Below are 25,671 nucleotides of genomic sequence, written 5' to 3' on the forward strand. Positions count from 1 at the left end.
TGTTTCCCAATAACCTATGGAAATAAAAAATTTTCAAAAAAAGAAAAGTGAGATATAGAATCAGGGAGTAACCATCACTGTATTGGATTGGAATTAGGGTATTCATGTGAACTCACACGCACACATACATGGGCACAATTTCCTAGCTCTGACTGCTGAATAGTCCTAGAAGCAGTGACCTACCAGTAGTAACGAGCACATCTAATGCCCAGATCTTGGTTTCTAAACAGCATTCTCCACTAAATGGAGCTAGGGCTCCTTGGAAAAATGGCTGATTCCATGTCTGAGATACAGAAAGCATAGGAAAGCATGCTGTGTCTGAAAGCAAGGAAGTGAAGGAAGTATTCAAAGACAGCTGGGAAGATATCAAGGGACAGTATAGCCAGCTGGGAGGGGCTCCTATGTGACAGTTTGAGCCTCAGAAGGAATATGACAATCATGGATTAAAACACATTGAATTAAAAATACAATGACCATGAGTCCATAGTCATACTCGAAAACAAAAGAAAACAAACCAAAAAACAAAGGAAGGGTCTTCTTCACAGAAGAAAATCAACTAATGTAAGTATGAGGAGTGCTAGAACATTCCCATTTTGCAAAAATGTAATAGTTGGTTCAGGAAAGATTGATAATGGATGTTAAAAGCCATGGTTGAAAGGCTAATAGGAAAGAGTATATTGAAGTGATCTCAAACCATCACTCTACAGATAACTTATTAGTAGCAAAAGGAAAAATTGTACCTTTACTTTGGAGCAATCTGGCAACTTCCAAATTAACCAAATGATCAAATGTAGCATCAAAAATAATGGGCCAAGCTGACATGAATGCCTTTAGATGGGCTGCAGCTTGAAGTACACATCACCCGGATGCAGTCTCGCTGAAAATGTTTAACCTGAATCCAATCAAGTGCGTAGACCCAACTCCCAGTTTGAAGGAGACACAGGGAGTGATGTGATCTGGCTCTGTGTCCTCACCCAAATCTCATCTCTAATTGTATTCCCCACACGTTGAGGGAGGGACCTGCAAACTCTACCTGTTGAGGGAGGGACGTGATCAGATTATGGGGGCGATTTCCCCCATGCTGTTCTTATGATAATGAGTGAATTTTCACGAGATCTGGTGATTTTATAAATGGTAGTTTTTCCTGAACTCTCACACACTCTCCCTCACCTGCTGCCATGTGAGATGTGTCTGCTTCGCCTTCTGCCATAATTGTAAGTTTCCTGAGGCCTCCTCAGCCACGTAGAACTGTGGGTCAACTAAATCTCTTTCCTTTATAAATTACCCAGTCTCGAGTAGTATCTTTATAGCAGTGTGAGAACAGACTAATACAGGGAATAAAGGAACAAGTTAATACACTAAGAAGCAGACAAATTCACAATGGGGCCATTCTACAAGATAAGAGGCCTGTATTTTTAAAGAGTCAGTCACAGAAAAAGAAAGATGAAGAGACCTTTTTTGATTACAGGAATCTAAAGACAGCAAACCAACAAATGCAGTGATTGAAACTCGACTAGATCTTTTAAAAAAACGTATTGACACATACTTATAGGGTACATGTGATATTTTGTTACCTATGTAGAATGTGTAATTACAGCCAGGGCATTTAGAGTTTCATTCAATCTTTTTAATACGGCCCAAGTGGCATGATTAAATTTTGATTCACAAATACCAGCTGTGAAAGACATTTTGAGGACAATTGGGGGCCATGGGGTCATTTGAATATAGCCTGGAGATGTGTGTGTGTGTGTGTGTGTGTGTGTGTGTGTGTGTATATAATTATTATTAGTTTTTTGAGACAGAGTCTCACTCTGTCATCCAGGCTGGAGTGCAGCGCGAAATGTTGGCTCACTGCAACCCCCGCCTTCTGGGTTAAAGTGATTCTCCTGCCTCAGACAATCCCAGAGTAGCTGAGATTACAGGCGCCCGCCACCATGCTTGACAAGTCTGGATATTAAATATAGAATGATTGTTAATTTTCTTAAGTGTGATAATGGCACTGTGGTTATATAGAAGGATGTCTTTATTCTTAAAAGCTGTATGCTGGGTATTTAGGGGTGAAGAATAATGATGTCTGCAATTTAGTTTCACACAGTTTAGGGGAAATAAAGGAGGGAGAAAGAGAAAAGAGAGAGAATGCCAACATGCGAGGAGTTAATAGATTTTTGACTCTAGATTGAGGCCATATGGGAGCTTATTGTGCTATTCTTTTGATTTTTCTGCATGTTTAAAATTTTTTCTTTTTAAAAAGTTGGAGGTAAGGGAAAACAAGTATTTACAGAAGCAGTACTTTGATTGAAAGAAATGGATTAACAATCAAGTTTGGCCAGGCACAGTGGCTCACGCCTGTAATCCCAGCACTTTGGGAGGCCGGGGCAGGCGGGTCACTTGAGGTCAGGAGTTTGAGACTCGCCTGGCCAACATGGTGAAACCCTGTCTCTACTAAAAATACAAAAATTAGCCAGGCGTGGTGGTGGGCACCCGTAATCCCAGCTGCTCAGGAGGCTGAGGCAGGAGAATCGCTTGAATCCAGGAGGCAGAGGTTGCAGTGAGCCAAGATCACGCCATTGCACTCCAGCCTGGGCAACAGAGCAAGACTGCGTCTCAAAAAAACCCCCCAAAAAAAACAAACAAAAAAAACCAATCAAATTTAAATGTAGTCAGATGTTCGGCATGAAATGTTGAGGTTGGGATGTCGCAGAGGCCAAGGGAAGGAAGAGAACTTTGCTGATCACTGCCCAGCCTGGGAGCTCTGCGGAGCCAGGACCTGCCTGAATGTGAGCCCCATGAAGGCGGAGCTCTTGGTCCCTTTTGTTCACTGCTAAATCCCCAGTACCTAAAACAAAGCCTGGATCATAGTGGGCACTCTGTAAACATTTGTCATCTGACTCAATGAACTGCAAATAGCTCAGTGATAGTAATAAACATCTTTGTCTGATTTCTGAGTATCTTCTCAGGATAGACTCTGGGTCAAAGATTAGGAATATCTTTACTGCTTTTCACATATATTATGGAATTACAAAAGATTATACTGGTTTATACTCAGCTAGTGTGTTTCTCTGCACTCTTTCTTTTTTTTTTTTGAAATGGAGTTTCGCTCTTGTTGCCCAAGCTGGAGTGCAGTGGCGCGATCTCGGCTCACTGCAACGTCCGCCTCCCGGGTTCAAGTGATTCTCCTGCCTCAGCCTCCCTAGTAGCTGGGATTACAGGCATGCACCACCATGCCCGGCTAATTTTGTATTTTTTAAGTAGAGATGGGGTTTCTCCGTGTTGGTCAGGCTGGTCTTGAACTCCTGACCTCAGGTGATCTGCCTGCCTCAGACTCCCAAAGTGCTGGGATTCCAGGTTGAGCCACTGCGCCTGGCTCTCTGCACTCTCTCTAGTACTTAGTGTTATAAATTTTTGGTTTTTTTTTTTTAGATGAAGTCTCACTCTTGTTGCCCAGGCTGGAGTGCAGTGGTGCCATCTCGGCTCACCACAACCTCCACCTCCTGGGTTCAAGTGATTCTCCTGTCTCTGCCTCCCGAGTAGCTGGGATTACAGGTGCCCACCACCATGCCCGGCTAATTTCTGTATTTTTAGCAGATACAGGGTTTCACCATGTTGGCCAGGCTGGTCTCAAACTGCTGACCTCAGGTGATACACCAGCCTCGGCCTCCCAAAGTGCTGGGATTACAGGCATGAGCCACTGCACCCAGCCAGAAATATTTTTAAAGTACCAGTTTGATGGATGAAAAATGTTGTCATTATAGTTTACATTTCTTTCTTTACTAGTGAAGTTTATTTTTTTGGTTAATTGTGTTTTTATATTCTTTCTTTATGAATGATCTCTTCATGAGTTTTGCTGGTTTTAATTTCAGCAATGCTTGTGTTTCTCTAACTGATTTGTGAATACAGCCTGCGGTGTTATTGGTATGAGGATATGTATATGTTTTAACAAGGGCCGCTTTGTGGAAAAGGAACTTCTTTCTAAAGGATTTGTAGATCAAATATCAGTGATAGGCTGATAGGTGCTGAGTGTGGCAGTGGGACCCCCCACCCCCAAATCCCAACCCCCCTTTGCCCCTGGACTGTGTGATGGGTGTTTTGACTCTCCGTCACTCTCACTGACCCAGGAGACCAGGATCTGGGGCAGAGAGGAGCCTCCCAGGGCCTTTGGTCCACCCCTGCCTTCAGGCAGGCAAGACAGCAGTGTTCTGATTTTCCAGAAAAGGCTACCAAAGGGCAAAGCCTCCTCTTGGGCCTTGGGCATACCCCATTCCAGGTGCACATGGACTGGGTGGGAGCAAGAAGGCTCCTCAGTCCTGAACAGTTGCTGTGACTTCAGGTCACTTCCAGGAGGTCCCCTCACCACTGCCTGTCTCTCAACCCCTGTCTGAGAGTTTGATCTGAAACCCTCCAAGCCAGACTTGCCTTGTCTGTGTCTTTTTCGCTAACATATGGTTGACTTCACCACATGCTTCAGAAAAAAAACATGGAAGGGGAACAGCTGATGAATGTACATTAACTGCCAACCGCTCAGTAATTTATTTATTCAATGCGTGGCTATTAAGCATCCAGTATCTCCAAGCCCTGACAGATGATCAGGCCTCAGACCCAGCGGCGTCCGGCATGCGGCTGGCTGTTCCTGACTTGAAGCAATCAGTGGGCTGCCTTAGAGGCCGGCACCTTCAGCTTTTTGCTAGGAAAGGTGTGAAGACAACCAGTGCCACTGCCCCATTTTGTGAGTGTGGCACTCACCGGAACAACAGCTCCCAGATGGACAGACACCAGGACCATTCTGCCTTTAGCCTCTCTGGTGGCCACGCGCTACCTCGATGTCTAGGGCTTTTCAGATGTGCATCATCCCTGGCACCTCCTGAGGTCCCCTTTCCATATCACTCCTCCCTCTGTAAAGCGAGCCACCTGTCATTTGATGTTCTGCCTTGAACTCGGATCCAGCCATCCCACTGATGCTGCGCACCCACAGATTCTTAGCTGTCTCCCCAGTCCAAGGCACGACAACCTTCTCTCTGCAGACACGTGAATTTGCAACCTGGGAAGACCTGAGTCTTGGCAGAGTAATTAAACTTGGCAAAAATGGAGCATGCTATTATTCTACACTGTGGAGTCGAGGTCCTAATTTGGAGGTTTTACAATTGCGTGACCGGCAGTGTCAGGCTTTAGGGGCCGCCAGCGCCAATTACCCATGTCAGAGACAGAAAGGGAATCAGAGATGTTTCACACTTCCTTTTAGGGCTTGGCTGCACCTAGGAACCGCCAGGATTCCTCAGTGCACATCGCTTGCTCTTTTTTGTCTCTGCAGTCTGAAACCCCTCCCCATTCCTCCTGTGCAAAAGAAATCCCAACATGTTGTTTAGGAGCAAAACCAGTAATTTCTCCCATGGGTTCTTGTACTGCATGCAGAATGACATGCTCAATGGTACTGCTATAGTCAATGTAACAGGGAATTTTGAGTGGCAGGTTTATTTTTTTTTTATAGCATTTCTTAACATAAGCCAGGGGCATGCTATCAAAATACAGCTCAGTGGAGACGTTTCTGCCACAGTTGAAGGGCAAAGGGAAAGTACAAAATGGTGAAGTCCAAGCACACAGCCCTAGGAAGGCGTGGTGTGGTCCAGGGATAAAACGCAGATCATCAAAAGGATAAATGGGCTGTAAAGCCTTCAAGCCGTCTTAGCAGGGCTCTGTTGGAGACGGGGTGAGGGTCATGCCTCAGGCAGAGACCTGGTATGTACTCGCCCTGCATGGTGACTCAGGCGGATCTTCAGATATAAAGCCTGAGTAATATCAGTGGGAACTGGGAATATGGATATAAATTCCAAGGACAATACTTAAGAATCATTTTGATGCAAGAATTGTAGAGGAAATTCAGACTCCAACAGATATCTATAGAGCACCTACGTGGCAAGAACCATTTTAAATGCGTTCTTTCATTGATTTCTCCTGGCAACCTTGTAGAGTTAGGATAATACTTAGGAAGTTGAGGAACTTTTTGGCTCATTGCCATTCACTTCATTTTCTTGAACATTGTTTTCTCTACCAGTAGATGTGAGTTCCAGGATTTCTGGAAGATGATCTATAAGAGCAGCAAGTGCCTTTTAATAGAGATATTGATTATCCTAACAGTGATTACTACATTTTTCTCATCTTAGATCTGTTTAACTCCACATATCAATTTCTACATGGAAGTGTTATTATTTACTAAACAATATTTTGGGGGTATCTATTTTCTGACTGTCTTGAATAATCTACCTTTGAAAAGTGATCAGTGAGCCGGGCGCAGTGACTCACGCCTGTAATCCCAGCACTTTGGAAGGCCGAGGCAGGCGGATCACCTGAGGTCAGGAGTTCGAGACCAGCCTGGCCAATATGGTGAGACCCCATCTCTACTAAAAAATACAAAAATTAGCTGGGTGTGGTGGCAGTCACCTGTAATCCCAGCTACTCCAGAGGCTGAGGCAGGAGAATCACTTGAACCCGGAGGCAGAGGTTGCAGTGAGCCGAGATCGCACAACTGCACTCCAACAAGAGTGCAGACAAGAGTGAGACAGCCCTCAAAAAAAAAAAAAAAAAAAAAAAAAAAACAACAAAAAAGCAAAGTGATTGGGGCCAGGCGCAGTGGCTCACGCCTGTAATCCCAGCACTTTGGGAGGCCAAGGTGGGCAGATCACGAGGTCAGATGTTCGAGACCAGCCTGACCAAGATGGTGAAACCCTGTCTCTACTAAAAATACAAAAATTAGCCAGGTGTGGTGGCGCGTGCCTGTAATCCTAGCTAGTGGGGAGACTGAAGCAGGAGAATCGCTGAAACCCAGGAGGCAGAAGTTGCAAGGAACTGAGATCACACAACTGCACTTCAGCCTGGGTTACAGAGCGAGACTCTGTGTCAAAAAAAAAAAAAAAAAAAGAAAAAGAAAGAAAAAAAGGGAAAGAGAGAAAGAAAGAAAGAAAGAGAGAGAGAGAAAAGTGACCAGTGTGTCTGCCTGTTGATATTGTTCAGTTTTAATAAATGAGACAGCTACTCCTACACAACCAACATGCTCAAAAAATAAAAAAAAAAGCCAGAAGATAGTTGACTTACATTCTTTTTTTTTTTAAAAAAAAAAGAAAAAGTTTAACATACATTGTTGATGACACTGATATACATTCCTTTATGAAAATTAGGAAATGGGATCAAAATCTTCTGTATCCTGGCTGCCTGCCTAGGGGGAGATCTGCCCAGAGCCGGGGTCTTCTCCCAGAAAAGCAGTTCTGGTGCTCCAGGATGTATGCGGTTTCTTCTATGGAGCATAACTGAGGTGACTGGGGCCCGGGAGCGTTTTCCAGGAGGAACGCAGAGGGGCCACAAAACTAAGGTCCAGGAATAGGCCCCTGGAACACCAGCTTTGGTGCACTGGAGCTTCCTGGGAAGCTGCCGGGGAAGCGGTGGCTAAATGTCTCCTTGAGCCACCAGATAAGACATTTTCTGATAGAAACCGGCACTCAGGACAGTGGAGGTGATTGATAAGTATTTGTTAAATGAATGAACTCATAAATGAATGACACCTCAAGTTTGCAGGGGTGAAGCATTTGCCAAAAATAACAATTTTTGTTTTAGAGCCACTAACTATAAAAAAATCCTTTCTTCCTATTGGCGTGAGGATAACAGAGCCGAATGTCTACCGAGGGAGCTGTGTTGAGAGTCAGGGCTGCAGTGTCAGGCAGTTCAGGGTGTGCACTGTCCAACTACGGGGGTATCTTTTACATAGATGACCCTGTGAATGGAGCCCTCTCAAGCTGGGCCCTGGAATCACACCCTTGACTTAAAGGAGGGTGCTTTATTCTATTCTCTCTGACAGGGGAGGTGGGTATCCAGGCTTTCATTCATTCATTAACTGTCTTAGGCCTGGGGATATGACAGTGAATAAGATACCAGCCCAGCCCTGGAGTTATTGTCTAATAGAAAAGATGGATAAGTTGCCAGAAAATGACATTTTAATCTAGGTGATGAGATATTGTAGGATGCTGTGGGAGCTTAAGAGAGGAGTTCCAGCCGGGCGCAGTGGCTCACACCTGTAATCCCAGCATTTTGGGAGGCTGAGGCAGGCGGATCGTGAAATCAGGAGATCGAGACCATCCTGGCTAACACGGTGAAACGCCGTCTCTACTAAAAATACAAAAAATTAGCCAGGCGTGGTGGCAGGTGCCTGTAGTCCCAGCTACTCGGGAGGCTGAGGCAGGACAATGGAGTGAACCTGGGAGGCAGAGCTTGCAGTGAGCCGAGATCACGCCACTGCACTCCAGCCTGGGTGATAGAGCGAGACTCCGTCTCAAAAGAAAAAAAAAAAAAAGAGAGGAGCTCCTAATGCCATCTGAGGCAGGAAGCATGAAGGAAGGGTGGCAGGTTGAGGAAGGCTTTGCAGAAGAAGCTAAATGAGAACTGAAGGATGAATAGAAACTATCCAGGCACCAGTGTGGGTGGGGGAACAGCAGGTGCAAAGGGCCTGTGGTGAGGACACTTTCCAACCATCGAGACATAGTAACAGGTCACGCACGTTGGGGGCCGATCACTGTTCTCAGCACTTTACGGATAACAGCTTACTTTTTCTTCGTAATACGCCTATTCATATTCTAACTCTCCCCAACTTAAGATGAGGACACTGAGGCAGAGAAAGCCGAAATAACCTGCCTAAGGTCAAGTCTGGGAGTCTCCCTCCAGAGCTTGCAGTCTTTTTTCCTTCAAGATATTAATTGTTTTTTACATTTTAAAAGAATACTGAAAATTGCAAGTAAAGTACAGTACAAATAACTTTTTAGAAACTTTTCCTGAGCCGTTGGAGGGTCAGCTGCCGACCTGACATCCCATCATCCCCAAATACTTCAGTGTGTATTTTCTAGACCAAGACTAGCTCCTATATAACCCAAACACAACCATCAAAACCAGGAAGTCAGCTTTGAAATAGTATCACCAATGACCCTCAGACTCCATTCAGCTTTTTGCTATTGTCTGCTATGATGTCCTTTAGAGTAAAAAGACCCAGTCTAGGATCATCATGGCAGCCTGCTGATCAGCTCTTTGCTGTCCTTAAACTGGGAGCAGTTCTTCAGTCTTTGCTTGTTTTTGTTTGTTGGCTGGTTGGTTTGTTTTTGAGACAGAATCTCGCTCTGTTGCCCAGGCTGGAGTGCAGTGGTGCGATCTCACCGCAGCCTCCACCTTCTGAGTTCAAGCAATTCTTGTGCCTCAGCCTCCCGAGTAGCTGGGATTACAGGCATGTGCCACCACATCTGGCTAATTTTTGTACTTGTAGTAGAGACGGGGTTTCACCATGTTGGCCAGGCTGGTCCTGAACTCCTGACCTCAAGTGATCCACTCGCCTCGGCCTCCCACAGTGCTGGGATTATAGGCGTGAGCCACCAAGCAGGACCTTTGCTTGGTTTTGTGACTCTGACACTCGTGAAGATTTCAGACCAATATATTTTGCAGAATGTTTCTCAATTGGGACTTCTCTGGTGTTTTCTAATATTAGATGAAGGGTTTGCATCTTGGGCTGGCTACCTTGTTAGTTTGGCGTGTTTTTGAATTTTGCAGAAATGAAACTGTATTGTACATATCCTTCCTCAATCTCCCCCAAACGTGACTGCAGTTTAGCATGTGCTTGTATGTGCTGGACCCTGTCTACTGTGTTTGCTGGTTTCAGACGCCGCTCCTTTCCTTGTAAATATGAGGTAATTGAGGCTTGAGGAGAGCAAAGATTTATTTACCCGAGGCCACATGCTGCTATAAAGAGGATCCAGGGCTCAACCACTCTGAGTGGTTGTCCCTGAAGGGACCTGGCTGGGCCCTGCTAAGGTCAGAACAGGTGGGGTTTTGAGAGAATTTGAGAGAAACAAGCTTATGGGTCCATCAGTCCCTGCTTTCACCACCTCCCCAGAGCCAGCCCATAAGGTAAACATCTTACATTAAGAATTCAAAAGAATTAGAAAAAGATTTGGCTGCAATATAAGATTGTGACTAACAGAAGAAACAGTTAACTAATATTATCCATAAAGTATTGATAGAACCAATAAAATAGGAGTTTAAGAACCAGAATTAGGCTGGGCACAGTGGCTCACACCTGTAATCCCAGCACTTTGGGAGGCCGAGGTGGGCGGATACCTGAGGTCAGGAGTTCGAGACCAGCCTGGCCAACATGGCGAAACTCCGTCTCTACTAAAAATACGAAAAGTAGCTGGGGATGATGGCAGGTGCCTGTAATCCCAGCTACTTGGGAGGCTGAGGCAGGAGAATTGCTCAATCGCTCAAACCCAGGAGGTGGAGGTTGCAGTGAGCTGAGATGCTGAGATTGTGCCACTGCACTCCAGTCTGGGCGACAGAGCAAGACTCCATCTAAAAAAAAAAAAAAAAAAAAAAAAAAATTAGGTTACTGAAAAGTTACAGTTATAAACAGTCAAGTAAACAAAATAAAAGCGCATAAGAAGGACAATGGCTAAAAAGAAATAGGAAATAAAACAGTAAATCCAAGACCAACCCTGCCCCAGAAGCTTAGGAATTTAAATAGGAAGATAAAAAGAGAATTAAAGGGGGAAAAAAGATTTGGCATTAAGAATTAAAGCCAGAAGTGCTGAATTTTAATAGTGGTAATTATGATAAAGCTAAAACACAAAGGGAGAACATTTAAAAGGTGATTAAAATAGAAAATAAGAAGGAAGGTAAAAGGGCAAAGTAAGGAAGATTGAAAATTAAAAGAATAAGTACGATAAGCTAGAATAACCAAAATAAGGCAAAATAAATCTAAATGGGCAATTTAACAAGGGAGAAGATGTCAAGAGTTTAAAAACTAAAGATGTAATTACAGGTAGAGAAAATCCACAGTTCAAGCTCAGGCCCCCAGAGCCTGTTGTTGCTGTTATTATTATTATTACTACTACTAATAATTATTATTATTTTGAGATGGAGTCTCACTCTGTCTCCCAGGCTGGGGTGCAGTGGCGCAATCTGGACTCACTGCAACCTCTGCCTCCCAGGTTCAAACAATTCTCCTGCCTCAGCCTCCCAAGTAGCTGGGATTACAGGCACCCGCCACCACACCAGGCTAATTTTTGTATTTTTAGTAGAGACAGAGTTTTGCCATGTTAGCCAGGGTGGTCTTGAACTCCTGACCTCAGGTGATCTGCCCGCCTCGGTCTCCCAAAGTGCTGGGATTACAGGTGTCAGCAACCATGCCCAGCTCAGTTATTACTAATATTAATGTTAAATGTGAAAGTAGTCATAAGTCCCAGAGACAGTCCATGTGATCCCATAAGATCTGAGTCACATGCAAGTTTCTGCACCTGTCTGGTCACCTCTGGGTGTGGGCCTCTGCCCAGGAGGGGAGGGAGAGCTGGGACTGTGTCCTCCTCCAGTGTCACACCTAGAACCACCTGCCCTGCAGCCCAGTCATCTCTCCATGGAGAGGTGTGGGATATGCCCCTTCAACTTCTCAAAGGGGAAAAACATTTAGAACTGCTGAAAATAAGATAGAGCTGTCAAAAGTATATGAAATTAGCTGCATAAACTGTGAAACATAAGTCACAGTTATATTTGTTCTGAGACAGTGTAAAAATAGAAACGGTTTCACAGATAGAAAATTCAAACCTCTCTTCAGTCACCGTGTCCAAGTAGCCTGAGATCCTTCCGATGCTCTAGTGTCCTTTGTTTTGCAGAACTAGGAGGCCAGTGATGGGACCTCAGCTAGCACCCAAGCGAGGGATGCCAGAGAGGAAACTAATTTATGATGCTCCATTTGTATTTTTATTGCTGAGGGTACTTGGTCTCCTATATTACTAGGGGAGGTGGAGAAATGGGTTATCACCAAAAGGCAGCCGGGCAGGAAAACCCCTCTGAGGTAGAGATACTGTACTTCTGCTAGAGCTGCACGGAGTGTTCATCTATCCTGGTGACATTGTGACCTCTTTGCAAGAGCCTTGGTCTGCACAGTCCCAGGATACTTCTGGACCAGTCTGCACAGGTGTATCTTCAAGAGGTCAGTGGTTGAGCTCCTAGATCTCAGCTTCTGCCCGGGAGTCGGCATGCATGCATTTACTCATTCATCAATCATTTGCAAGTATTGAGGCCTTCTGGTGTGTTGCACTGTGCCAATTGCTCAGGAAGCAACAAAACTTGGCATGGTCCTATGTTTGAGGAGCTTAATGCTACCTGGGCCACCATGGTCAATGGTAAGAGCTGATGATTCTGCCAACCTCCCGGAAAAGGAGACTGGAACTGGGTGGGCAAGACTGAAGGGTCTCTATACTCAAGCTCCTGTCTTTTTGTATTTTAAAAAACAAGCTTTAAAAAAATAAACATATTAAAAATTAAAGTTTTCATTATGGAAAATTTCAAACATATACTGAAATAGACAGAAAAGTATAATTAATTCCCCCAATATTCATCACCCAGCTTCAAGAGTTCTCATCTCACGGCCAGTCTTTCTTCTCCACTCCCACCCACTCCTCCCCAGGCCTGGATTATTTTGAAGCAAATCCCAGACGTCATATCACTTCATCCAAAATATTTCAGACTGTATTTCTAAAAGATATTGAGGTTAAATATAGGTTAAAAATAACTACAATACCATTAGCATGCCTAAAGAGATTATCAATAATCTCTTAACATGATCAAATATTGGCTCAAACACCCCCTCCCCACAGTGTGTTTTAAAAGAGATTCAGATAGAGTCTGTATAATGCAATCCATTGATATTTCTTCAGTCTCTTTTAATTGCTTCCTTTCTTTCTTGTTTTTCTCTTTGCAGTTTTCCCCTTGAGAAATTGGGGCATTTATCCTGTTTGGATTTTATGACTGTGCCTGCATGGTGTTGTTTAACCTGTTCCTCTCTCCCCGGTGTTTCCTGTAAATTCCTGGTTAGAGCTGCAGGCTTGATTAGAGTCGGGCCACGTTTCTTCAGTTCCTGTTTTACCCAGTGCTTGTCCCTGTGTTTAGACACTCTCACAGAACAACCCAAGCTAGCTTCAATAAACACCTGACAAGCTGCCCCAGGCTTACTGAACATGCAACTTGTACATTTTCATAGAAATACATACAAGGAACAGTGTGGAAATGGGACATTGCCCAGCATCAGCACTTGAAGACTCGCCATGCTGTACATGAGCCATTGGTGGCAATGGGCGATTCCACAGCAATGACCTTTTTTTTTTTTTTTTTAAGACAGAGCTTCACTCTTTTTGCCCTGGCTGGAGTGCAATGGCGCAATCTTGGCTCACCACAACCTCTGTCTCCTGGGTTCAAGTGATTCTCCTGCCTCAGTCTCCCGAGTAGCTGGGATTACAGGCACGCGCCACCATGCCTGGCTAATTTTGTATTTTTAGTAGAGAAGGGGTTTCTCCATGTTGGTCAGGCTGGTCTTGAACTCCCAACCTCAGGTAATCTGCCCGCCTCGGCCTCCCAAAGTGCTGGGATTACAGGCGTGAGCCACCGCCCTGGGTAACAATGGCCATTTTTTAGGTGGATCCATGGATGATAGTCACAATGTTTAACAACCAGGTATGGCACCAACCAGCTACAGCAGAGCTGTTAACACTTAGTGTGGCTGTCCCAGGCTGTCCCTGCTGAGTGTTGGCCTTGGAGGTGACTCCCACGTTTAATGCAGGCTGAGCATTCTTGGAGCGATGCACTTTTGCAATTCCCTCTGGCCATTGCCAGGAACAGAGGAAGGCCAGTGGGCTAATGTTTTAACAAGGCTGATGCTTTCTTAGTTTATCCAGAAAAATGGCCCCACATATTTTAGATGTAGCTTAATTTTGTATGCTAAATATCAACTTATAAAAGCACATATTAAGGTTTTTTTCTTATACATATATTTAGCAATGTGGCACTTTTGTGATATGAAATGATTTCTGGGACTAGAACCCTGATTCATGACCTTGTGCCTGTAGGAATAAAGTCCCAACACAATACCTGAACTTGAGAGGACCCCAAGGGACTGAGTCAGTGACGTACTGGGGGCTTTGGACTTTGCCTCCTGTGGGCAGATTCACAGGAACACCCTCCTTCTCATAGCCGTGATTACCCTGGCCATACCTCACAGGCAGCCTGGAAAGGGGAGGTCATGGGTGTGGAGTCAGAGGCCCTGGGTTCACTGTCTGGCTGTCTCACTAGGTAGCTGTGCAGCCTTAAGGCTAGGCACCAAACTGTATTGAGTCTAGGCCTGGAGCGGTGGCTCATGCCTGTAATCCCAGCACTTTGGGAGGCTGAGGCGGGTGGATCACCTGAGGTCAGAAGTTTGAGACCAGCCTGGCCAACATGGTGAAACCCCATCTCTACTAAAATTACAAAATTAGCCAGACGTGGTGGTGCATGCCTGTAATTCCTGCTACTTAGGAGGCTGAAGCAGGAGAATCACTTGAACCTGGGAGGCAGAGGTTGCAGTGAGCCAAGATCGCGCCACTGCACTCCAGCCTGGACAACAAGAGCAAAGCTCCATCTCAAAAAACAACATGTGGGGATAATGGCCAGAGAATTTAATGAGACAGTGAGTGTAAAGGTGCTTGACATATGTAAGTTGGCTTCCTGTGCCCCTCTTTACAGAACACCTTTCTGCAATGATTGTGCTTTCCTCCTGCCGTGCTGCCCAGCTCACCATGACTCACTGCTGGTTGGTATACCAAAGAGGACTTGCAAAGCAGCCTTGGATGAACTCTGTGAGGATGGGCACTGACTACCAAGAACATCCCATGTCCCACATCAGCACCATCCCACATCTTGAAAACTGAAGAACTGATTCTTGGGTCCATTCTGGGCTTCTGAAGGCTCTAAATCATTAATCTACTGCCTCTAGCCCCCACCGTTCTTATCTCCATTCTCTGCTCTTACCTCACCCAAGTCCCTTTCGGCATTCTCTTGTGTGTGAGACTCAGACTCTAACTACACTATATATGTTTGGGGTTGCCTGGCTCGCCTTCACATATTTAAAACTTCTCCCAAGCACAGCTCCCACTGATGAGGTGGGAATGGCCCCATTAATCCTGCTGCCTGCTCTTTTAGCTGTTTGAGCCAGAGATAAACACCTGACCCAAGGATGGTCAACCAGATTATTTTATTTTTTATTTTTTATTTTTTGAGATGGAGTCTAGCTCTGTCGCCCAGGCTGGAGTGCAGTGGCGCGATCTCTGCTCACTGCAAGCTCCACCTCCTGAGTTCATGCCATTCTCCTGCCTCAGCCTCCCGAGTAGCTGGGACTACAGGTGCCCGCCACCACGCCCAGCTAATTTTTTGTATTTTTTTTTAGTAAAGACGGGGTTTCACCATGATAGCCAGGATGGTCTCGATCTCCTGACCTCGTGATCTGCCCGCCTTGGGCTCCCAACCAGATTATTTCCTTAGAAATTCCTTTTCTCTAAGAGACACAAAAAAGAGTCCCCAGTGGCTGTGTGGCCAGCTGAGATGAATGGTCACTGTGGCAATGACTGCCATTTATGTCAAGTGCAAGCTGAAAAGCAGAGAAGCAGGACAACAGAGCAGTCCGCAGAGAGAAACAGGGAGGAGGGGGCCTCATGGCCCCCAAGAAAAGGATAAAGCGGCTCTGGTTTTTGATGGCTTCTTCATTCTTATAAAGATGGAAAGATGGGCTTCATCTCTTCTACCTGGAGTCTCCAGGATCCAGCATCCTTACAATATCCCTCTTTTACTTGAGCAAATTCGGGTAGGCTTCTGATCTTTGTCATCAAAGCAGCCTTGGCCAGGAAATAAGACAAGTGTGTCTACTCTCACTGCTTCTATTCAGCACTATGATTGAAGTCCTTGCCAATGCAATAAGGCAAGAGAAACAAATAGAAGTCGTGACTATTGAAAAGAAAGAAATATGGCTGGGTGCAGTGGCTCATGCCTGTAATCCCAGCACTTTGGGAGGCTGAGGTGGGAGGACCACTTGAGATCAGGCGTTCAAGACCAGCCTGGTCAACATGGTGAAACCCTGTCTCTACTAAAAATACAACAACAACAACAAAAATTAGCCAGGTGTGGTGGTGGGCACCTGTAATCCCAGCTACTTGGGAAGCTGAGGCAGGAGAATCACTTGAGCCCAGGAGATGGAGGTTGAAGGGGGCCGAGATGGCACCACTGCACTCTAGCCTGGGTAATAGAGTGAGACTCCATCTCAAAAAGAGCTAATAAGCGAATTTATTAAGATCACAGGATACTAGGTGAACATGCAAAAATTAATTTTATTTTTACATACTACCAAAAAATGATTGAAAAATGAAATTAGAAAACATTGGCATTTAAAATAGGATAAAAAAGATGAAATACCTATGAACAAATTTATTTAAAATATGTGTAAAACATTTACATTAAAAACTACAAATCATTGCTGAATTAATTTAAAGAATATCTACATCAATGAAAGATTAGGACATGTTCATAGTTTGAACAATTTAAGTTGCCAATATTCAGGTGTCAATGATCTCTTAATTTTTTTAAAAAATTGACAAAAATTGTATATATTGTATACAATATGTTGTTTTGAAATATACATACCTTGTGGAATGACTAAGTCAAGCTAGTTAACGTATGCATTAAACCTGAAATTTATCTGTAGAGACAATGCAATTTCAACTGAAATTCTAGCTGAATTTTTTTTGGTAGAAATTGACAAACCGATTCCAAAATTTGTACAGAAATGCAAAAGATTTAAAATAGTCAAGACTATATTTAATAAGAACAAAGTAGGAGGGTTTACACTACCAGATTTTAAGATTAAGCATAAAGCAACAGTATTTAAGACACTATGGTAGTGGCATAAAGATAGAAAATTAGATCAATGAAACAGAATAAAAGTTCAGAAATAGACCCACATGTCTACGGTCATTGGACTTTTGAAAAAAGTACCAATGCAGCTCTTTGATGGAACAGAAAACTTTCTCAATAAACAGTGCAAGAGCAACTAGAGATCTATATGGACCATAGACCCAAATGTGAAAATGAAGAGTCTAAAACTTCTATAAGAAAACGTAGCAGAGTATCTTCATGACTTCAAAGTGGTCTACTATTTCTTAGGATATAAAAGGACAAACAATAAAAAAATTTCTAACTTAGTCTTCATCAAAATTAAAAATTTCTGCTCATTAAAAGACAAGAAACTTGGCTGGGCACAGTGGCTCATGTCTGTAATCCCAGCCCTTTGGGAGGCCGAGGCAGGCAGATCACCTGAGGTCAGGAGTTCGAGACCAGCCTGGCCAATATGGTGAAACCCTGTCTGTACTAAAAATATAAAAATTAGCTGGGCGTGGTGGCAGGAGTCTGTAATTCCAGCGACTTGGGAGGCTGAGGCAGGAGAATTGCTTGAACCTGGGAGGCAAGGTTGCAGTGAGCCAAGATCGTGCCACTGCACTCCAGCCTGGGTGACAGAGAGAGACTCCATCTCAAAAAAAAAGACAAGTAAGTCACAGGCCAGTAGAAAATATTTACAGTACACATATGTGAGCAAAGACTTGTGTTCAAGATATATAGAGAACTCCTACAAATTAAAAATATAATAAAAAATAAAAAATGGTTAGGCATCTTAAACAGGCACCATGAATGGCCAATAAACATATGAAAAGGTGTTCAACATCCTTAGTTATCAGGAAACTGCAAATTAAAACCATAGTGAGAAACCACAATACAGTAAGACAGATACAATTACAAAGACCGACAATTCCAAGAGTTGACAAGGATCTGGAGCAACTGGAACCTTGATGCCTTGCTGGTGGGAGTGTAAAACAGTACAACCATTTTGAGAAATTATTTGCCTGTTTTTAATAAATTTAAATGTACACCTATTCTAAGACCTAGCAAGTCCACTCCTGGGTATACACCCCAGAGAAATGAGTACATACATCCACAAAAAGAATTGTCTAAGGATGTTCATAGCAACTTTATTCATAATGGCTGAAAACTGGAAACAATTCAAATATCCATCAACAGAAGGGTAGATAAGCAAATTGTGGCAATACCTCTCAGCAATAAAAAAGAATAATTTGGGCCGGGCGCGGTGGCTCGCACCTGTAATCCCAACATTTTGGGAGGCTGAGGCAGGCAGATGCCTTGAGGTCAGGAGTTCGAGACCAGCCTGGCCAATATGGTGAAACACCTGTCTCTACTAAAAATACAAAAATTAGCTGGGTGTAGTGACAGGTGCCTGTAATCCCACATATTCGGGAGGCAGGAGAATCACTTGAACCTGGGAGGTGGAGGTTGCAGTGAACTGAGATTTTGCCACTGTACTCCAGCCTGGGTGAAAGAGTGAGACTCTGTCTCAAAAATAAAATAAAATAAAAGAACAAAAAGAACAATCTGGTACACATATATTGATGAATTTCAAAAATATTATGTTGAGCAACAGAAGTCAGACACTGTAGAGTACACACTGTGTGATCCCATTTGTTGTGTGAACCAACAAAACCAATCTGATGGTGATAGATGTTAGAAGATGGTTACGTCTGAGAGTTGGATATTGACTTGAAAACGGGCCCTGAGGGGCCCTCTTGGGGCAATGGAAATGTTCTATATCTTGGTCCAGTTGATGGTCAAGGAGGTGTAGTACCTGTGTAAAAATTCATCAAGCTACAGACCCAAGATCTGAACATTTTATTGTAATGTAAGATGACCTTCAATAAAGCATTATTTAAATCACCTTTATGAATATGCTAACGACAGCGACGATTCCAAAAACAAACCAGGGAGATGAAATATTTGGGGCTTTTCCAAGATAAATGCTGTAGTCTCTCTTTAATTGTTACCAGTCTTTGTGCCATGTAGAGGTTTTTGTTGTTGCCGTTGCTGTTGGTATTTTTTCCTCTGCTAAATTTAGATCATGAAACCTGCCTTTCTATGCACAAATCAAGCAAGGAGACAGAGAATGATTTTGCTGTATGAGAGCAAAATGGACTTCAATAGGAATGGATAAAGAAATTGGGAAGGTGACTATGGAAACTGAACCAGAGATGCTCAAAATCAGCCGCGACACTTTGCATCAGGGACCCAGTATGAGAAGACAGTGACACAGAGATGTGGGCAAGAGCAGGGATTCAGTTATGTGGATGACAGACCTGACTCAGAATGCTATGGAGCAAGAGAAGCCGGGAGCAAATGACAGAGAGTGGGTGAGGACCCCGGGAGTCTCACATCAGACAAGCTTCCATTAGATGGAAGGGCTCACCCATGGTCAATGTAGCATGCCCAGGAGAAATGCATATTTTGGACTTTACCTTTAAAAGCAATAACTCAAAGCCCTCTGAACCTGACAGCTCATCGGAGGCTTTTGTCTAGAAAATGTCTCCACAGCAGGTGTATCATGACTTATCTCGCCATGGAGATCCAGCTCAGAGAATGTAATAGCGACATGTGGCACAGTGGAGCTGGCGGTTCCTGCTTTGGAGGCAGTCAACATCAATGTGCTCACCAAAACCACTGTGCTTACTAAGCCACCAAGACAGAAGGGGGCACAGGTTCATGGGCAAGCTGGACTTGGTGTACAAACAGGAAGGGGCTCATTTCTTCCTCCAGATTCCCCACTTCACCCTGCTCTGTAGGTTGGCACCACCTGCATGGGTCTTGTATGAAACCTCAGGCAGGCCACATGCAAAGCTTTGCTGGCTACTTGGAAGTTATAAGCAAATGGTCTCTTTCGCTGGGTATTAAAGAGAGCAGCCCAAAGCGATTTCCTGACTGTCTGCTTCTCCCTCTCCAGGTGCAGACCCTGCCACAGCCAAAGCCCCTACCTCTTGCTCCATATTCTCCCCACCCCCCAGCTGCTGTTTGGGCTCTCAGAGTGGGGCCCTGTGGGGGTCCTTAGACATGCCTCCCGGGAGGTCTCTGACCACAATTCCTTGGCATGTGCAAAGCTCTTAAGCCTCGACTCCAGCAGGAAGTGCTCTTGGGCAGACTCCTTTTCAAATCAGTTCACAGCTGGCTCTCTTCCTGGAGACCCACACTTAGCTCTGAGAAATCATGCCTCTCTGCCTTGCCTTCGGTGTAAATGCTTCCCCAATCCCTGCTCAGCCTTGGCCCTCCTCCCCTTGCAGGCTGCTTCAGCCAGTTCAGCGCTAGATGTTTCCGGGTGTGAACAAGGTGCCTGTTCCCCAGATTCCAGAGATTTCCAAGTAGATCCATTGAAGCCCTCCTCATTTAACTTAAGGGAAAAGGCTCCCATGGGGAAGGGTAGGAAACTCACAGCACCCTGACAACTCCCCCAAACAAAACCCAGTAGCCAGCCCCGTCACTCCCCCTTTCATCTAGTGTTAAAATGCAGAAATATTTGTGTTAAAACATTTTTATGTACCAATTGGCAGAGAGCCACTGTCCTGAGACTCCTTCTCTCTTTACTACCAGGGCCCTTCCTTGGCCCCTTGGACTCTTGCTCTGGCTTTGGGTCCGGGTTGTCAGTTACTTTTACTCTCACTTCTGTTGATACCCTCCAGTGAGGGTGGGGGGGGAGGCGGGTGAGGAGCTAAGGTGGCTTCACTGTTTCTGTTGTGTCCCAGGTAGATGGTCAGATATTTACAGTGTTGTTCTTGGCTCTTGGGGCTTAAGCCACATCAGAGACAGCAGGAAACAATTGTCCATGGCTATAGTTTGTATTTTTGTCCCCACCCAAATCTCATGTTAAATGTAATCCCCAATGCCTGAGGTGGGGCCTGGTGGGAGGTGTTTGGATCATAGGGGCGGATCCCTCATGTCTCTGTGCTGTCTTCGTGATAGTGAGTTCTCACGAGATCTGGATGTTTAAAAGTGTGTGGCACCTCTCACCCCACTCCCTTGCTCCTGCTCCTGCCATGTGAGACACCTGCTCTCCTTTTGCCTTCTACCAGGATCGGAAGCTTCCTGAGGCCTCCACAGAAGCAGATGCTGCCATATTTCCTGTATAGCCTGCAGAGCTGTGAGCCAATCAAACTTCTTTTCTTCATTATTATTATTATTTTTTGAGACAGAGTCTCACTCTGTCGCCCAGGCTGGTGTGCAGTGGCATGATCTCAGCTCACTGCAACCTCCGCCTCCTGGATTCAAGCAATTCTCGTGCCTCAGCCTCCCAAGTAGCTGGGATTACAGGCATGTACTACCATCCCGGACTTATTTTTGTATTTTTAGAAGAGACAGGGTTTTGTCATATTGGCCAGGCTAGTCTTGAACTCCTGACCTCATGTGATCCTCCTACCTCTTCCTCCCAAAGTGCAAACCTCTTTTCTTGTAAGTTACCCAGCCTCGGGTATTTTTTTATAGCAATGCAAGAACAGCCTAATCCACCCATAATATCTAATTACATGCAAATAAAATAGGGGTGTGTGTGTGTGTGTGTGTGTGTGTGTGATCAAGGATCAATGAGCAAAGCAACCTCAGGAAGGAAGTGTTGCCTCCCCACCTTGTCCTAGGATTCTGCTCTGTTGCCTGGTTCACAATTCCCCAGTGCAGATACAGGGGATACAGTTTCCCTGTAGCCATCCAGGGATTTGTAGAGATTGTGAAGCTTCTAGGAATTTAGCTTAAAGAAATAATGAGGGCTGGGCATTAGGTTTTGCCACAGTGATATTTATCATAGTGTGGCTTACAAAACAGCAAAAATTTGAAACTGTCTTGGGTCAGAGATTGCTGTTGCCTTCCCTGTATCCACTGTCCCCTTCTTCCTCACTGATGGAACCCATTTGCTGAGGGCAGAAACAGACCTGGCTTTTTTTTTTTTGAGACAAAGTTTCGCTCTTGTTGCCCAGGCTGGAGTGCAATGGTGTGATCTCTGCTTACCGCAATCTCTGCCTTCCGGGTTCAAGTGATTCTCCTGCCTCAGCCTCCTGAGTAGCTGGGATTACAGGCATGTGCCACCATGCCTGGCTAATTTTGTATTTTTAGTAGAGATGGGGTTTCTCTATGTTGGTCAGGCTGGTCTTGAACTCCTAACCTCAGGTGATCTGCCCACCTCGGCTTCCCAAAGTGCCGGGATTACAGGAGTGAGCCACTGCACCTGGCCCAGACCTGGCTTTTATTTTATTTTATTTTATTTTTTGAGACGGAGTCTCGCTCTGTTGCGCAGGCTGGAGGGCAATGGCATGATCTTGGCTTACTGCAATCTCTGCCTTCTGGATTCAAGGGATTCTCCTGCCTCAGCCTCCCAAGTCACTGGACTACAGGCATGCACCATCACATGTGGCTAATTTTTGTATATTTTAGTAGAGATGGGGTTTCACCATGTTGGATAGGCTGGTCTCGAACTCCTGACCTCAAGTGATCCACCCGCCTCAGTCTTCCAAAGTGCTGGATTATAGGCATGAGCCACTGCGCCTGGCCCAGACCTGCTTTTAAATGACACACCCACTTCCCAGCCTCCCTTGCTGGTGGAGGTGGCCATGTGACCCAGTTTTGGCTAATAAGATATCAGCAGCAATGGTTGGGTGGGCTTCAGGGAATCTCCTTAAGATCAGGGCAGACCTGGCTGGTGCCACGCCCTTCCCTGGCTGGCTTTTCTCTTTCCCTCCACCTGAACTGTGGCTGTGATGGCTGGAGCTTTGGCAGTCACCTTGACAGATGACAGAGTAGAAAGCTAGAAGGAGCCTGGGTCCATGCAGGCGTGAAGGAGCCGCGGTCACGACCCTCTAGACTTCTTTCACACAACGGCCAAATAGATCTCTGCCGTGTTAAGCTGTGCTATGTTTTAAAATAAGCAGCTGAATTCGGTACTGACTGATACAATACCCAAAACCCAACAATAGGAGCATAATTAATAAATCACAATCCAGTCATACTGGAGAATATTTTATAGTAAGATGTCATTTTATGAAAAGGAAGGATGCATAAACATATAGAAAAAAAAGACTTGAAGCACATTTGCAACATAATAAAACCTCTCTGGGTGGTGGTAGTACAGTGATTTTTTTTTTTAATGGGGTCTTGCTATGTTATCCAGGCTGGCCTCAAAATCCTGGGCTCAAACAATCTTCTGGCCTCAGCCTCCCAAAGAGCTGGGATTACAGGCACAAGCTGCTCTGCCTGGCCAAGATACAGTGAACTATCTCTCCCTCCCTCCCTCCCTCCCCTTCCTTCCTTCCTTCCTTCCTTCTTCCTTCCTTCCTTCCTCCCTCCCTCCCTCCCTCCCCTGCTTCCTTCATTTTTTTGAGACAGTCTCACTCCATCACCAGGATTGGAGTGCAGTGGCTCTATCTCACCTCACTGCAACCTCCACATCCCGGGTTCAATCGATTCTCTTCCCTCAGCCTCCCGAGTAGCTGGGATTACAGGCGAGTGCCACCACACCTGGCTAATTTGTTTTTTGTATTTTTAGTAGAGACAGGGTTTTGCCATGTTGGCCAGGCTTGTCTCAAACTCCTGCCCTCAAGTGATCTGCCTGCCTCGGCCTCCCAAAGTGCTGAGATTACAGGTGTGAGCCACCACGCCGGCTGTGATTTTTCTATTCTATTTCTTAATATATGTAGTATTCAAAATTTCCTAGTTTTGTCAGAGGAGTAACAATAGTTTTTTTGTTACTTGTGCCTGTAATCCCAGCTCTTTGGGAGGCTGAGGCTGGAGAATCGTTAGAGCCCAGGAGTTTGAGGCCAGCCTGGGTAACATAGCAAGACCACATCACTGCCCACAAATATTTTTTTAAAAAATTACTGTACAAAACAAAAGTTTTTTTTAAATTATGGAGTTTTTATTTATTTATTTTTTTAGCACGGGCAACCAAAAGTTATTATTATTTTTTTTAACATGACACCCTCGTAACCCTGTCAAGTCTTTGCAGCAATGACCTCTGATGCATCTTTCCCAGACCAGCATTCCTCATGATCTGCCATCTCTTACCTCATTTCCTGGGCTCCTGGGTCTGTCTGCATTGCTGTTCTGCAAGGAGGCATTCTGCTCCAGGGGATATTCAAGGTCAGGGGCTCATTTACAGATTTTCCATTGTCCTGTGAATCTGTGACAATTCAGAAATGGAGCAAGTTAGAAGATACAGATCAACCCTTTTCAGGCAATTCTCTGTAAGCCTAGGACAGTAGCAGCAGTCATGCTGGAAGGTGGAGGAAGCAGAGTGGGAAGGGGTGTCCCTCCCCTCACTCCCTGAAGGGGAGTTTGTCACACCTCATGCTGTGTCAGATGGCCTGGGATGCCATCCCTATGAAAATTATAATTATGGGCCGAGTGCGGTGGCTCACACCTGTAATCCCATCGCTTTGGGAGGCCAAGGTGGGCAGATCACCTGAGGTCAGGATAGCCAACATGGTGAAACCCCGTCTCTACTAAAAATACAAAAATTAGCCGGGTGTGGTAGCGGATGCCTGTGATCCAAGCTACCTGGGAGGCTGAGGCAGATGAATTGCTTGAACCTGGCAGGCGGAGGTTGCAGTGAGCTGAGATCGTGCCACTGCACTCCAGCCTGGGTGAAAAAAAAAAAAGAAAATTATAATGATGATTTAAGCAACTTCATATACATTTACATATACATAAACATACATACGTAGTCAGTGGAAAAAAAGATATTGGAAATAAGAATACAAACCTGGCTAATATTTACAGGGCAATAAAACCATAACGATTGGTGTTATTTCTACTGGTCAAAAATCACTGGCAACTTGCCAATTTTTTTAGCATCTAACAATTCCCAAGTCCTAATCAATATGAAATAATAAGTCCAGTTAGCCTCCCCCAGAAAGTCTGCTCACCCGGGGGTGGGATTTTTAGGCAATGATCTGCTGTGATTTTGAAGGGGTACTCATTTTGCAGATGAAACAGAGAATGTCCCACACCTTCCAGACCCAAATCACACATCGTGACTCCAGATCATGAGCTTCTTTGGTGGCTGTGGAGTGACCCAGTAGCCCATTTTGTCTGCTCCTTCTCTTCCCCAGCCCCCACCCCGTGCTCTTTCTCACCATGTAGGTCAAGCACGACATTTTCTCCTTGGATTCTTGGATCAGGAAGTACTGAGCAGTCAAAAGAATTCGCTCCAAGGAGGTGACATGAAGGAGTCACTGTAAAAATAAAACTGTAAGGCTAGGCGCGGTGGCTCACGCCTGTAATCCCAGCACTTTGGGAGGCTGAGGTGGGCGGATCACTTGAGGTCAGGAGTTCGAAACCAGCCTGGCCAACATGGTGAAACCCTGTCTCTACTAAAAATACAAAAATTAGCCGGGCATGGTGGCAGACACCTGTGGTCCCGGTTACTTGGGAGGCTGAGGCAGGAGAATCGCTTGAACCCAGGAAGTGGAGGCTGCAGTGAGCTGAGTGAGCTTGCACCACTGCACTCCAGCCTGGGTGACAGAGCGAGACTCCATCTCAAACAAACAAACAACCCCTGCAAATCTGATGAAAACATTTATGGCTGGACATAAAGGCCACCTTTGGGGATGGCACTGTTCTGTCTATCTGGTGTCAGCATCCTTGGCTCAGCTTGGGGAGGTCACAAACTCGAGGCTCTTTCCCCAGCGGCCCTCTTGCCCTCCCCAGCTTCATCCCAGACACAGCCCTACACCTTCCTTTTCTTGCAACCCTGAAAGACTTCCCCGACCCCCAACCTTGGCAGCTGCAGCTGCTTTTCTGTCTGCTTACAGTGCCCTACCCCTGCCCTGTCCAACAGGGTGGCCGCTAGCCACGTGTGACTATTATGCACTTGAAATGTGGCTGAGGAGGGGAATTTCTCATTTTATTTAATGTAATTTACATTTAAAAGTA

At 45.1% G+C, this 25,671-nt stretch overlaps 1 protein-coding gene across 2 annotated transcripts in view, besides 2 other annotated features; it reads right to left on the reverse strand.

Moving 5' to 3' along the window:
• NGEF (neuronal guanine nucleotide exchange factor) overlaps positions 1-25,671 on the reverse strand; it is a 134,556-nt gene that overhangs the window by 67,711 nt on the left and 41,174 nt on the right. For both annotated transcript variants that reach the window (NM_019850.3, XM_011510923.4), the window contains exon 3: positions 23,803-23,917. In NM_019850.3, coding sequence (NP_062824.2) covers positions 23,803-23,917 — 115 coding nt within the window. The remainder of the gene's footprint in view (positions 1-23,802; positions 23,918-25,671) is intronic.
• Positions 11,742-11,831: an enhancer, noted in NCBI's record as "active region_17326". NCBI's record gives its function as "activates an Ori minimal core promoter by ATAC-STARR-seq in GM12878 lymphoblastoid cells {active_cell/tissue: GM12878}" and the evidence as "EXISTENCE:reporter gene assay evidence [ECO:0000049][PMID:35858748]".
• Positions 12,871-12,920: an enhancer, noted in NCBI's record as "active region_17327". NCBI's record gives its function as "activates an Ori minimal core promoter by ATAC-STARR-seq in GM12878 lymphoblastoid cells {active_cell/tissue: GM12878}" and the evidence as "EXISTENCE:reporter gene assay evidence [ECO:0000049][PMID:35858748]".

Source organism: Homo sapiens, chromosome 2 (genome assembly GCF_000001405.40).
Source record: "Homo sapiens chromosome 2, GRCh38.p14 Primary Assembly".
Lineage (NCBI taxonomy): Eukaryota > Metazoa > Chordata > Mammalia > Primates > Hominidae > Homo > Homo sapiens.